Source organism: Homo sapiens, chromosome 1 (genome assembly GCF_000001405.40).
Source record: "Homo sapiens chromosome 1, GRCh38.p14 Primary Assembly".
NCBI lineage: Eukaryota > Metazoa > Chordata > Mammalia > Primates > Hominidae > Homo > Homo sapiens.
Genome location: NC_000001.11, coordinates 85852415 through 85868271, shown reverse-complemented (window position 1 = coordinate 85868271; position 15857 = coordinate 85852415). Strand labels below are relative to the sequence as shown.

Sequence of the window (15857 nt, the reverse complement as noted above, 5' to 3'; positions counted from 1 at the left end):
ATGTTGTCTCAAACTGAGTTTGATTAAATATTTTGGATCTTTATTCCTATAACTGACATTATTGTTGTAGAGTAATATCGCAGCTCCAGGATGAAACAAGAAATTCTTTGCAAGCATAATATGAGCTATCAGATCTGATCCTGAATTTTGTTATTACTTCAAAGGAAGTTCTAAACATCATTTTGAACAAATTCTCTCACCTCAAGACAAGTGGAAGATGTGAATAAATAATAAGAGTAATGGCCAGGCCTGTAATCCCAGCACTTTGGGAAGCTGAAGTGGGTGGATCACCTGAGGTCAGGAGTTAGAGACCAGCCTGGCCAACATGGTGAAACCCCTTCTCCACCAAAAATACAAAAATTAGCTGGGCACCATGGTGCGTGCTTGTAATCCCAGCTACTCAGGAGGCTGAGGCAGGAGAATCGCTTGAACCCAGGAGGCAGAGGTTACAGTGAGCCAAGATCGTGTCACTACACTCCAGCCTGGGAGACAGAGTGAGACTCCATCTCAAAAAGAGAGAGAGAGACAGACTGAGAGAGAGAAAATAGCATCTTTTTTGCTTAAATGCTTAATTTATTATAGTCTTCCAGATACAGCCTATCTGGTCATTCTATTGTTTCATTTTACTGTTCCCTTTTTCTTGTCTCATATCTTTAAACGTGGGTTCTCCTCAAAGTTATTGTCTTTACTTCTGTAAATGTTCATGCCTTTGGAGGTATTGTCCTATCTTGGGAGTCATCCCTTTTGACCCTACCAGAAAATGGTTTCTCTTTCTTCTGTACTCTGGCAGTTTTATTCTGCCTTTTAAAGATTACAGCATTTAAGCATGTGGGTCTCTTCCCCAAGAGAAAACATAGCTCTTCAAAACCAGATGCTCTGTCTTTACTCCTTCCCATAAACCACAGTGCTTCTGTGCTCCAGTATTTCCACATTGGGGCTCAGTAAAGACTGAGGAACTAATTATGAGTAAACTGATCATGCAGGCAGGCTGGAAGACAAAGTAGTGGTTTACAGTGTTTATAATTTTCAGCTTTTTTTTCTGTCCTTCTCTTTTCCTCTGGTTTCTAACCTGCAGATCATTGAATGGGCCCTGCCCCAATCAGCTCAATTAGGTTTGCAGGACTAAGAGGAAAGCTCTATCTGGAAGAAAACAACAAATATCTTAAATGAAACACAAACTAGCTGTCTTACCATTCATTTTTATCAATGACTATAATTCCTTTAGCAGCAATTAAAATAATATTATAACACATCTACCCCCAAATAATAGCATATTTCAAAGTAACATTTGAAGAATGAAGATAAACCAGAAGTATAAGATTATTTTTGAGCACTGGCAAATGGCAACTTTTTTCTTTTCAGTTTTACAGCAGTGGTAAGTGCCCATTTCTTCTCTGTCCTTCCCTCAGACCTGGAGAACTGTGATGGGTGTTCCAGCACAGCAAATACAAAGTACTTAGGAATCCCAAAAACTTATCTTATTTATTTATTTATTTATGAGATAGAGTCTCACTCTGTCACCCAGGCTGGAGTGCAATGGCATGATCTAGGCTCACTGCAACCTCCACCTCCCGGGTTCAAGAGATTCTGTTACCTCTGCCTCCAGAGTAGCTGGGACTACAGGCACGCACCACCATGCCAGGCTAATTTTTATATTTTTAGTAGAGACGGGGTTTTACCATGTGGGTCAGGCTGGTCTCAAACTCCTGACCTCAAGTGATCCACCGGACTCGGCCTTCCAAAGTGCTGGGATTACATGTGTAAGCCTCCATGCCCAGCTCCCAAAATTATCTTAAACATCATTAGTCCAAACATTAAACAATATAATTTCACTTATATACTGTCATAGAATCCTCCCAATAACCTATAGATGTTATTATTCCCTATTTTACAACTGGGAAAAAACTTAGAAAAAGCTAAGAGATTTGTACAAGATAATATAGCAGATGGCACTGCTTTATTTATTTACTAAAGAATAATCACTAAAGAAATTATTAATAAAGAATCTTTTCTTTTAGGCAGAGTCTCACTCTCACCCAGAAGTGCAGTGGCACGATCTTGGCTCACTGCAACCTCTGCCTCCCGGGTTCAAGTGATTCTCCTGCCTCAGCCTCCCAAGTAGCTGGGAGTACAGGCACCCACCACCATGCCCACCTAATTTCTGTATTTTTAGTAGAAATGGGGTTTCACCATGTTGGCCAGGCTGTTCTCAAACTCCTGAACTCAAGTGATCCCCCTACTTTGGCCTCCCAAAGTGCTGGGATTACAGGCATGAGCCGCTACACCCAGCCATTAAAGAAATTTCTTTATTTTCTAAGCCTCGCTTACCCATGGGTTAACCAGCTTTGGCCCCATATTTTTCCTTTCTAGAGTTCTTAATAATTTTCATCTTTGTTAGAGGACTCATCCCTCTTCCATTAGTGTCAGGCCTGGACCCACAGAGAAGCCAAGTAACAAATGCCAAGAAAGTGTGATTATCTTCCTGATCATTCTTGTCAAATTTGTTTTCAGGTTAAAAAACCACCAACAGTTATTCATACTTTAGTATGTATATTTAAAAAATCAACTAGCATAGTTCTCTAGCAGAATCCTAAGAGTTTGTAGAGAGGGAAAAAACAGAATTAAGAAAAGGGAAAGTCTAAACATATACCGTAGAATACCACAGCAAGGAATCCCAAAGAGGAATGATACAGTATGACAGCTGGTGACGAGTAGAGCAGAGATGGAAATGGGACTCAAAACAAGGCATGGAAAAATGATAAACACAGATTTCATCTGCTTCATAATTTTTCCCAGGAAAAATCATGCCTAGTACACATCTTTGGTGCCTTTTTTTAGTAACACCACATGTGTGTTTTTTTATTCTTTTTGTTGTTCTCCTTGGAATTTTAAATGGCTTTCAGCTTGTAAACTCAATAAAAATACCATGGCATATTTTTTCAAAAGAATTTTGCAATCCAAGGAACTATTGCTTAATCAGGCACCCTAATGCTGGATTTATTTTTGCACTTTAAAAATTCTTCCTTAGACAGTGTCACAAAGATGCTACCTTGGATTCCTACAAAATAAATAAGAAAGAGAGTGAGAGAAAGAAATAAAACTTTTTTTTTTTTCAAGAAAAGAAAAGATCTCCTTACTTCCTAGAGGACTGCAGAATGAGATCTGGATTGAAAAATAAAGCAAGGGAAGCATCAGTAATGAATTCCAAATCCAGGAGTTAGATTTCTTTAAACAGAAAAAAAAATTGTATATTTTATGCTTGAATCTTGTGCTAAAATGTTCAGTTGCCTAAATGCATAACTCTGCATGAGAAAAGAATTGGGAAGCATCTGAAAGGAAACATCTGCCTGACTTACGGTCTGTTATCTATGCTAAAAAATCTACCACTGTGTTATCTAAGATCTGAACAGATTTGCAACTATAAACTCCAAAGTTGGATGTATTAAAATGAAATTGTCCTGTTTTATATGTTTAGGACAAAATTTGGTTGGATTTATTGAAATGTGGTTTTTACTATCTGTTTAAGGTGGTATGATATTAGGTAGAGGTAAATATCTTAAGGGAAGATAAAATGAAATAAAGTGACCTTCTCCAATAAGTTTTTTAAATAAGATCTTAAAAGTGAAGTCATAAAGATGAGAAGATTATCAATAGTTAGAAAAGAATGATAAGATATATGTTTCTTGTTTCTTTTTTTAATAGCAAATGTTTATAATGTCTATTTTTTATATATATACTTTAAGTTCTAGGGTACATGTACACAACGTGCAGGTTTGTTACATATGTATACATGTGCCATGTTGGTGTGCTGCACCCATTAACTAGTCATTTACATTAGATATATCACCTAATGCTATCCCTCCCCCCTCCCCCATCCCACGACAGTGTGTGATGTTCCCCTTCCTGTGTCCAAGTGTTCTCATTGTGCAATTCCCACCTATGAGTGAGAACATGCGGTGTTTGGTTTTTTGTCCTTGCGATAGTTTGCTGAGAATGATAGCTTCCAGCTTCATCCATGTCTCAACAAAGGACATGAACTCATCCTTTTTTATGGCTGCATAGTATTCCATGGTGTGTTCATGCCACATTTTCTTAATCCAGTCTATCATTGATGGACATTTGGGTTGGTTCCAAGTCTTTGCTATTGTGAATAGTGCTGCAATAAACCCACGTGTGCATGTGTTTTTATAGCAGCTTGATTTATAATCCTTTGGGTATATACCCGTAATGGGATTGCTGGGTCAAATGGTATTTCTAGTTCTAGATCCTTGAGGAATCGCCACACTGATTTCCACAATTGTTGAACTAGGTTACAGTCCCACCAACAGTGTAAAAGTGTTCCTATTTCTCTACATCCTTCTCTCCCCCACTTGTTGTTTCCTGACTTTTTAATGATTGCCATTCTAAGTGGTGTGAGATGGTATCTCATTGTGGTTTTGATTTGCATTTCTCTGATGGCCAGTGATGATGAGCATTGTTTCATCTGTCTGTTGGCTGCATAGATGTCTTCTTTTGAGAAGTGTCTGTTCACTTTGCCCACTTGTTGATGGGGTTGTTTGTTTTTTTCTTGTAAGTTTGTTTGAGTTCTTTGTAGATTCTGGATATTAGCCCTTTGTCAGATGAGTAGATTGCAAAAATTTTCTCCCATTCTATAGGTTGCCTGTTCACTCTGATGGTAGTTTCTTTTTCTGTGCAGAAGCTCTTTAGTTTAATTAGATCCCATTTGTCAATTTTGGCTTTTGTTGCTATTGCTTTTTGTGTTTTAGACATGAAGTCCTTGCCCATGCCTATGTCCTGAATGGTATTGCCTAGGTTTTCTTCTAGGGTTTTTATGGTTTTAGATCTAACATTGAAGTCTAGCATTCCCTTTGAAAACTGGCACAAGACAAGGATACCCTCTCTCACCACTCCTACTCAACATAGTGTTGGAAGTTCTGGCCAGGGCAATCAGGCAGGAGAAAGAAATAAAGGGTATTCAATTAGGAAAAGAGGAAGTCAAATTGTCCCTGTTTGTGGATGACATGATTGTATATTTAGAAAACCCCATCGTCTCAGCCCAAAATCTCCTTAAGCTGATAAGCAACTTCAGCAAAGTCTCAGCATACAAAATCAATGTGCAAAAATCACAAGCATTCTTATGCACCAATAACAGACAAACAGAGAGCTAAATCATGAGTGAACTCCCATTCACAATTGCTTCAAAGATAATCAAATATCTAGAAATCCAACTTACAAGGGATGTGAAGGACCTCTTCAAGGAGAACTACAAACCACTGCTTAATGAAATAAAAGAGGACACAAACAAATGGAAGAACATTCCATGCTCATGGATAGGAAGAATCAGTATCATGAAAATGGCCATATTGCCCAAGGTAATTTATAGATTCAATGCCATCCCCATCAAGCTACCATTGACTTTCTTCACAGAAGTGTTTCTTGTTTCTAACATAGTTTCCTTGGAAACAATCAGTTGGGAATTTAGGGTCAGCATTAAGTGGCATTATGGAGTAAATGATTATCTAACTCTTTATCATCTGAATGGTTTCTGTGACTCTGGTGTTAGGCTTGTTTATTCTGAACAGTTTCATCATAAAGCAACACAAATAGCAAGCCCTGCACTGACCACTGTGTCCCTCATCTCCCACTAAAGAGCTGTACATTGTTGAGTGAGTCATTCTTTGATTTATATGTTCACACATGACACAAAACAAACGGGTTGGAGCTATGCAGAACTTCCCAAGATGATTGTGTCAGGAGGGATGCTAAGTTAGCAGGGCCCCATTTTTTCTATTCCTGTATCAGTCAGGAATGGTCCTTGTATGTCTTTTTAACATAGATTTTTAACGTAGATTTTCTTTGGAAGTAAAGGTTCTAAGGCTTTAAAAAAATTCATTGTCTTAGATTTTCTAAACTTTTATTCAGCCTTACAGACTGTGATTCTATAAAATATTTGTGTTCATTTGTGAATTCGATGAAGTTTTTGAGTACCTTCTATGAGCCAAGAACTCTGCTAAACATTAGGGATACAGTGGGGAACAAGACTACCAAGTTTCCTGATCCTCAAATGTTATAATCTAATGAAGAAGACTGAAAGATTAAAAGATCACTGCAGATTGTGATAATGCAATAATGGAAATAAACATACTAATGAAAGAGAATAACTGATTATGGGTAGAAAAGCCAACTAGTTAAAGATAGAGAACATATATCAGCTAGGGTAGTGAGAGAAGGCTTCTCTGAATAGGGGACAATTACATTGAGACATGGAGAGTAAAAAGGAACCCATCAAGCAAAGAACTGTGGGAAGATCCTTCAAGATAGATGAAGCAGCAATGGCCAAGATATAGAGGTGAGAATGAGCTGAGTATTTTTAGAAAACTAAAAGGGTATTACAGCTGCAGCATAATAAATAGTGAAAAGTTGTTTGAGATGAGCTTGAAGAAATAGGTAGGAAGTAGATCATGAAGGACTTTTTAAGCTATGATAAGAAATTTGGGTTTTATTCAAAGTGTGGTTAGTGTTATTGGCTATCTCAAGAAATGAAACGAATTACAGGAAAAGAACAAAATAAATTTCACTTAGAAAAGCACATCATACGCCAAGACAATTCAGTGAGAGAAAGAATGGTCTTTTCACCAAATAGTGCTGGAACAACTGGATAACCACATGCAAAAGAATAAAGTTGAACCCTTCCTTCTACTGCAGAAAAAAATGAACTCCAAATGAGTCATAGACCTAAATGTAAGAGCTAAAACTGTAAAAGTCTTAGAAGAAAACATGGGAGTACGTCTTCTAAGATAAATTGGACTTCATTAAAATTAAAAGATTGTTGGTTCATAGGACACAATCAAGAAAGTAAAAGATCAACCCACATAATAGGAGAAAATATTTGAAAATCATATATGATAAGGGACTCGTATCCAGAATATATTAACAATCTGATAATAAGATAATTAACATAAGTGAAAAATGGACAGACTTAAATATCTCCAAAGAAGATATACAAATGACTAATAAGTGCATGAAAAGATGCTCAATATCATTACAAATATCAGGAAAATGCAAATCAAAACCACAATGAGATACCACTTCATACCTACTAGGATGGTTAGTGTTAATGAGGATATAGAGAAATTGGAACCCTTATACATTGCTGATGAGATATAAAATCTGCAGTTTCTTCGTAAACCAGTTTGGCGGTTCTGCAAAATGTTAAACATGGACTTACCATATGACCCAGCAATTCCACTTCTAGGTACGTATGTCCAAGAGAATTGCATTTAAACAAAAGCTTGTACATGAATTTTCACAGCACATGATTTATAAGAGCGAAAAAGTAGAAACAACCCAAATGGGCATCACCTGATGAATTAATAAATAACATGCGAAATATTATTTGACAATAAAAAGGAATGGTGTACGAGTACATGGTGCAGCATGGATTAACCTCGAAAACATTATGCTAAATGAAAGAAGCAATTCACTAGAAACCACATATTGAATTGTTTTTTGTTTATTTCTTTTTGTTTTTGAGACAGAGTCTTGCTCTGTCGCCCAGGCTAGAGTGCAGTGGCACGATCTTGGCTCACTGCAAGCTCCACCTGCCAGGTTCACGCCATTCTCCTGCCTCAGCCTCCCGAGTAGCTGGAACTACAGGCACCCACCACCACGCCTGGCTAATTTTTTGTATTTTTAGTAGAGATGGGATTTCACCGTGTTAGCCAGGTTGATCTCAATCTCCTGACCTCGTGATCTGCCCGCCTCTGCCTCCCAAACTGCTGGGATTACAGGCGTGAGCCACTGTGCCTGGCCCACATATTGTACTTTTATATGAAATGTCCTAAATAGGCAAATCTATACATACAGAAAGTGGATTAGTGGTTGCCTAGGGCTAGAGGGGTTGGAAAGAAATGGGGAGTGACTTCTTATGATAATGAGATTTTGGGGGGAAGTGACGAAAATGTTCTAAAATTGATTTTGGTGATGGTTACACAACTATGTGAATATACTAAAAATCATCTAATTGTACACATTAAATGGGCACATAATTCATATACATGATACGTGGATATCATGTATGAGTATATAGTATCATGTAACTATCACATATGTAAATGTTAATTATTCCTCAATAAATCTGTTTTAAAAATAGATATGATGTGATACTTCTGAGACAAAATAGCTACTTTCACAAAGTCTAAAATAGGGAATCCCAACTGGTTCCTCTATTTTATTAGTAAGCAACACCAAGCTGACTATTCTCAATCAACATGACATAGATAAATGACATATATAAATTGTATAAAATAGCATTTTTAAAGAGATGCGGTCTTGCTATGTTGCTCAGGCTGGACTTAAACTCCTGGACCCAAGGAATTCTCCTGCCTCAGCCTCCCAAATAGCTGGGACTATAGGCACACACCAAAAAAATAGCATTCTTCTTTCTGTAATTATTGAATAAATCCATTTTAACATGTACATAGTAAAAAAAAGTTGCTATTTTTCCTATATGCCCTGCAAACCTCTAGATACACAAATGGGTTGCAGTGGGCAATGTTAACTTTTAAAAGCCAACATTTTGGAGCAAAATATTACTTACACATTTCAGGAAAAGCACTAAAATAAACCAGCCTACTAGCAGTGGAAATTTACACTTCCTCCTAAAAAAAATATAACAACAACATATCCTTGAAGAGAAAAATACTGAACAAATAACCAGGGGGGACCTTTCTGATTATAATAACAAGAAAATACAATATAGAATAACGCAACCCCTTTTCTCACATATAATGGGTTCTTTAAATATGTGCAGAAGTTTACTGTGCAAAAAATTCCTAATAGATTCATATGTTCTGTTCCCTAGAAGCTAAAAAATATTATGAAAATCTCTCACTCTACTTTGCCTTTTACTCATAAACTTTGGTTTTACTTTCAACATTTAATGCATGTTCTTTAAAATGTTATTTTCTTACAAGTGAATACCTAATAGACTACCTTACTGTCTGATTAGGGCTAATTATTTTCAATTTTGGGCATACATTCTGTCATTCATTTATTCATTCATTAAATATTTATTAAGCCAGGCACAGTTATGAATGTTAATGTTACAGCAGTGAACAAAACAGACAAGGTTCATGCTGTCATGAAATTTGTAGGAATTTGTATTCTAATGTGGGAAGACAATTTCAACATGAGTGATAATTCTGGTAGTGATAAGTGCTGTGAAGGAAATAAAGATTGAGTGCAGTGATTCATGCCTATAATCCCAGCATTTGGGAGGCTGAGACGGGAGGACCACTTGGGCCGTGGAGTTCAAGACCAGCCTGGGCAACATAAAGAACCCCCATCGCTACCAAAAATTTTGTAAAATTTGCTGGGTGTGGTGGCTTACACCTGTGGTCCCAGCTACTAGGGTGGGAGGATCTGCTTGAGATTGCTGGAAGGTCGGGGCTGCAGTGAGCCATGATCATGCCACTGCACTCCAGCGTAGGTGACAAAGCAAGACCGTCCGAAAAGAAAAGAAAAGAAGGAAAGGAAAGGGAAAGAAGGAAAGAAGGGAAGCAGGGACGGAGGGAGGGAAGAAGGACGGAGGGAAGGAAGGAAGGAAGGAAGGAAGGAAGGAAGGAAGGAAGGAAGGAAGGAAGGAAGGAGGGAGAAAATAAGGAGAAAATATGTTATTGGGATGTGGAGTGACCAGGTAAAGGGGTTACCTATTTAGGGTGGTCACAGAAGTACTACCTGAGGCTGCATTGAGCCAGGCACCTAAGCATAGAGAAAGCCACCTATGTGATTATCTGAGGAAAAGAGATTTCTAAATAGAGGGAATATCTAACGCAAAGGCCCTAAGGCAGAAGGGGTTTTAAAAAGAAAAGAAAAAAATGAAAAAGAGCCCTGTATCTAGATTATAGTAAATAATTGGAAAACATGATGTCAGAGAAATGGTAGGAGCCAGATCATAGGGAATTATAGACCATGATAAGAGGTTTGGTGATTATTCTCATTGCAATGGACAGTCATTTGGAAGGTTTTGAACAGGCAGAAGGGTATGATTAAAATTGTTAGTGATTATTTGGGCTATTGTGAAGAAGTGAGCTATGGGGTTAAAAGTGGACCAAACCACTTATAAAGCTTTGGCAGTAGTCTAGATGAAAAATGTTGGTGGCTTGGAATGAGAAAACACAGTGATAGTGAATAATGATCAGATTCAAGACATATTTTAGAGGCATAGCTAACTGAATTTGCTCCTGGTTTAGATGTTGAGAAGATGGGATAAAGTAATAAATAATAAACCCTAGATTTTAGCCTGAGCAACTGAGTGGATAATCATGCCATTAAATGTGTAACAGAGCAACAAATTTGTACTTACAGATGTGCAAATATGTAACTTCTTTATTTCTGGCTCATCTGGTTTTCCTCACAAGCTCCTACTTACTGATTAGTGGAATGCATTGGGGTTGCGGGGGATGGCAGCAGGCAAAGAGAAAATTTAAAATCTGACTCAGTTGAATGCTTAAACTTAATCTAATCATATAAAGTAGTAGTTTCTTCAGGTGCTCAGACTATCAAGATGCTTAGTCTCTCAAGTGTATCAGTCCTTGACCTCTCTCTTTTACTCCTTTCCAACATTGAGTCTGTGTGTCTTGTGATTGCAAGGATGAGGATGCCTTGGATATTGATGCAGGTGTTATTTGTGCTAATTGGGACAGGGTAATCTTCCCTCACCGCCTACCCTGATGGTTTCTGCTGATGATGTTTACATCTAGTAATTTTCATTTTTTTCTTTGTCTTTTTTTTTTTCTTTTTTTTTTTTTTTGGAGAAGAGGGTTCCCTTGCTGAACTGGTCTCACATCAGGTCCCACTAATTTCTATAGATGTCTCTGAGGTCTGTTGTGGTCCTTATTCAGTACTAGCCAAGGAAACCTGCTCTCCAGCCCTTATTGTAGAGCTATATATTCCTAGAGTAGTGATCACCCTGTCCCTGCCACAAACTTCCCAGCTGTTTCTGAGTTGCCATCTACATCATATAGGAATCGAAGAGTAGCTCAGGAAAATTTAACCATATGGTCTTCCTCATTTTGACTTTGTTGTTGAGTAACCATATTGACAGGGCTACCCACCAGGTGATATCTACAAAAGATACCTTTCAAATTCCAAATGAGTAATTGCAAAAAAGATCTCTCTCTGACAAAACTCAGAAAAAGGAAAATATGTCTCTCTCTCCTCCTTTGCCTTCCCACATTCTCCTGGAGCCAAAACAAACAGACAAACAAAACCTCCATGCTTCTCTTTACTTCCCCTATGTCATATCCTCATCCTTCTATCATCTAGTAAAAGCCTTATGGTAATACATGGAAAGTGTCTTCTCTATCACAGGACAGCTTTGTGTGCTAGGTGCTCCAGACTCAACTCATGAAATGTTAAAAGTTGGAAACAAGGAAAACAGAAAAATATTATTTTAAGGCATTCAGCCTTTGGGCGTACAGACACCTGAGGCTGAACAGGCAAACTCCTCATATTCAAAGAGGCAAGAAAGAAAACCATTTTACTAATTTTCAAATTTTGCCTTATTACAGTGGAGGTGGGGAAGAGTAGGAGGAAAGCAGTTTAGGGTTAGGAGGAGGGATTTAGAGACTTTGGTTTTGGACGCGTAAAGTTTAACATACCAAATACAAATGCAAAGAGCTATCATTAGGTAGGGTAATCAGAAAGTCAGTGATGGAGTGAGAACAGGTGATATAATTAGGGAATCATTAGAATACAAATTTCTCAAAACTATACCATTAAATGGAAATTAATCAGTCTGCTCCTGAAAGACTTTTGGGTAAACAATGAAATTAAAGCAGAAATCAAGAAATTCTTTGAAACTAATGAAAACAGTGATACAACATACAAGAATCTCTGGGATACAGCTAAAGCAGTGTTAAGAGGGAAGTTTATAGCACTAAATACCTACCTACATTAAAAAGTTAGAAAAATATCTAATTAACAGCATAACATCACACCTAGAGGAACTAGAAAAACAGGAGCAAAACAAACCCAAAAGCTGAAATAACCAAAATCAAAGCTGAACTGAACAAAATGGAGATGAGAATAAAACATACAAAAGGTCAACAAAACCAAAACTTCATTTATTGAAAGAATAAATAAGATTTATAGACCATTAGCTAGACTAATAAAGAAAAACAGGCAGGGAGATGATCCAAATAAACACATTCAGAAATGACAAAGGGGATGTTACCATCAATACCACGGAAATACAAAAAACCCTCAGAGACTATTATGAACACCTCTCTGCACACAAACCAGAAAACCTAGAAGAAATTCATAAATTCCTGGAAACATACAACCTCCCAAGATTGAACCAGGAAGAAACTGAAACCCTGAGCAGACCAATAATGAGTTCTGAAATTGAATCAGTGACTTAGAAACCTACCAACCAGAAAAGCCCAGGACCAGATTGACAGCCATAATCTACCAGAGCTATAAAGAAGAGCTGGTACCAATCCTACTGAAACCATTCCAAAAAATTGAATAGGAGGGATTCCTCCCTTATTCATTGCATGAGGCCAGCATCATTCTGATATACAACAACAAAAAAAGAAGACTTCAGGTCAATATCCCTGTTGAACATAGATGCAAGAATCGATAACAAAATACTAGCAAACTGAATTTAGCAGCACATCAAAAAGCTAATCCATCATGATCAAGTAGGCTTTATTCCTGGGATGCAAGATTGGTTCAACATATGTAAATCAATAAATGTGATCCATCACATAAATATAACTAAAAACAAAAAACACATGATCATCTCAATAGGTACAGAAAAAGCTTTCAATAAAATTCAACGTGCCTCAATGTTAACCCTCAACAAACTTGACATTGAAAGTACATACCTCAAAATAATAACTGTCATCTATGACAAACCCACAGCCAATGTTATACCTAATAGGCAAAAGCTGGAAGCATTCCCCTTGAGAGATGGAACTCTCACCACTCCTACTTAATATAGTACTGGAACTCTCAGTCACAGCAGTCAGACAAAAGAAAGAAATAAAAGGCATCCAAATAGGAAAAGAGGAAGTCAAACTCTTTTTGCAGATTATATGATTCTGTACCTAGAAAACCCTATAGTCTCTGTTCAAAGGCTCCTAGATCTGATAAACAACTTCAGCAAAGTTTCAGAATACAAAATCAACGTACAAAAATTAATAGCATTTCTATACACCAATAACATCCCAGCTGAGAAACAAATCAAGAGTTTAATGCCACTCATAATAGCCACAAAAAGAATAAAATACCTAGGAATATTTGGGAGGCCGAGGCAGGTGGAACACGCTGTCAAGAGATCAAGACCATCCCGGCCAACATGGTGAAACCCCTTCTCTACTAAAAATACAAAAATTAGCTGAGCGTGGTGGTGCACACCTGTAGTCCCAGCTACTCAGGAGGCTGAGGCGGGAGAATCGCTTGAACCCAGGAGGTGAGGTTGCAGTGAGCTGTGATCACACCACTACACTCCAGCCTGGTGACAGAGCGAGACTTTATCTCAAAAAAAAAAAACAAAAACCTAGGAATACAGTAACCAGGGAGGTGAAAGATCTCTACAATTAGAATTACAAGACACTGCTGAAAGAAATCAGAGGCAACACAAACAAATGTAAAAACCTTCTATGCTCATGGATAGGAAGAATCAATATTGGTAAAATGGCCATACTTCTCAAAAGCAATTTAAAGACTCAATGCCAGTCCTATCAGATTACCAAGAACGTTTTTCACAGCATTAGCAAAAGCCATTCTAAAATTCTTATGGAATCAAAAAAGAGCCCAAGTAGCCAAAGTAATCCTAAGCAAGAAGAATAGAGCTGGAGGCATCACAAGTACCTGACTTCAAACTATACTACAAGGCTACAGTAACTAAAACAATATTGTACTGGTACAAAAACAGTTACACAGACCAATGAAACAGGTTAGAGAACCGAGAAATAAAGCCACACAACTACAGCTATCTGACCTTTGACAAAGCCGATAATAACAAGCAATGGGGAAAGTTTACCCTATTCAGTAGATGGTGCTGGGATAACTGGCTAGCCATATGCAGAAGATTGAAGCTGGACCCCTACCTTTTACCACATGCAAAAATCAATTTAAGATGGATTAAATGCTTAAATATAAAACCTAAAACTATAAAAACCTTAGAAGAGAACTTAGGGAATACTATTCTGGACATCAGCCCTTGCAAAGACTTCATGACAAAGATTCCAAAAGCAATTGCATCAAAAACAAAACTTGACAAATGAACCTAATTAAACTAAAGAGTTTCTGCACAGCAAAAGAAACTGTCAAAAGAGTAAACAGACAACCTAAGAACAGGAGATAGTTTTTGCAAATTATGCATCCAACAAAGGTCTAATATCCAGAATCTATAAAGAACTTAAATCAATAAGCAAAAAACAAACAAACCCATTAAAAATGGGTAAAGGACTTGAACATACACTTCTCAAAAAAAGACATACATTTGGCCATCAAGTAGATGAAAAAATGCTCAATGTTGCTAATCATTAGAGAAATGCAAATCAAAACCACAATGAGATACCATCTCATACCAGTCAGAATGGCTTTTATTAAAAAGTCAAAAAATAACATGCTGGTGAAGTTGCAGAGAAAAGTGAACACTTATACACTGCTAGTGGGAATGTAAATTAGCTCAGCCACTGTGGAAAATAGTCTGGAGATTTCTCAAAGAACTTTAAAAGAACTACCATTCAACCCAGCAGTCCCATTACTGGGTATATACCCAAAGGAATATAAACTGTTCTACCATAAAGATGCATGCGCATTTATCTTCAGCGCAGCACCATTCACAATAGCAAAGACATGGAATCAGCCTAGATCTCCATCAACAGTGGACTGGATAAAAAAAAAAGTGGTATGTATACACCATGGAATCCTATGCAGCCATAGAAAAAGAACAAGATCATGTCCTTAACCAGCAACATGGATGCAGCTGGAGGCCATTATCCTAAGCAAATTAATGTGGGAACAGAAAACCAAATACCACATGTTCTCTTTAAGTTGGAGCTAAACCTTGAGTACACATGGACACAAAGAAAGGAACAATTAACATCAGGACCTACTTGAGAGTGAAGGGTGGGAGGAGGGTGAGGACTGAAAAACTGCCTATCAGATATTATGCCAATTACCTAGGTGACAAAATTATCTGTACACCAAATCCATGTGACACATAATTTATCCACATAACAAACCTGCACATGTACCCCTTGAACCTAAAATAAAAGTTAGATAGAAAAAATAAAACATAATACTGTGGTTACTGTGGCATGCGCCTGTACTTCCAGTAACTCGAGAGGCTGAGGTGAGTGGATTGCTTGATCCTAGGAGTTCAAGTCCCGCCTGGGCAACATAGCAAGACAATGTCTCTAAATAAATAAATAAAAGTAATATACAAAAATAGGTTCCATTCTTTTTCACCAGCAATGAGCAGTTAGATATTTTTAAATGCAATTTCCAACACAATTAGCCACAAAATTAAGTACCTAGCAATACATCTAAACAAAATATTTGTAAAAATGGTGTGGAAAATTTTTGCAATTAAAGAAATTATAATCATTTATTAAAGAACTAAATAAATGGACAGTTATTTTATATTCATGATAGGAAAACTCAATATTATAAAATTATCAATCTTCTCCTATATTAATGAATACACTTAATACAATTTCAACCAAAATCCCAATGGGATTTTTAATAAAACTTGATTGATAAAAAGTGATTTAAAAATTTGTGTGGAAAACCAAAGGGCCAATATTAAGACAACTTTAAAGAATAAGTTGTGCAGA

At 37.2% G+C, this 15857-nt stretch overlaps 1 protein-coding gene across 20 annotated transcripts in view; it reads left to right on the top strand.

Annotated features, from left to right (window-relative positions):
• The window catches only part of COL24A1 (collagen type XXIV alpha 1 chain), a 427752-nt gene that overhangs the window by 288713 nt on the left and 123182 nt on the right, over positions 1 to 15857 (top strand). The window lies entirely within an intron of this gene.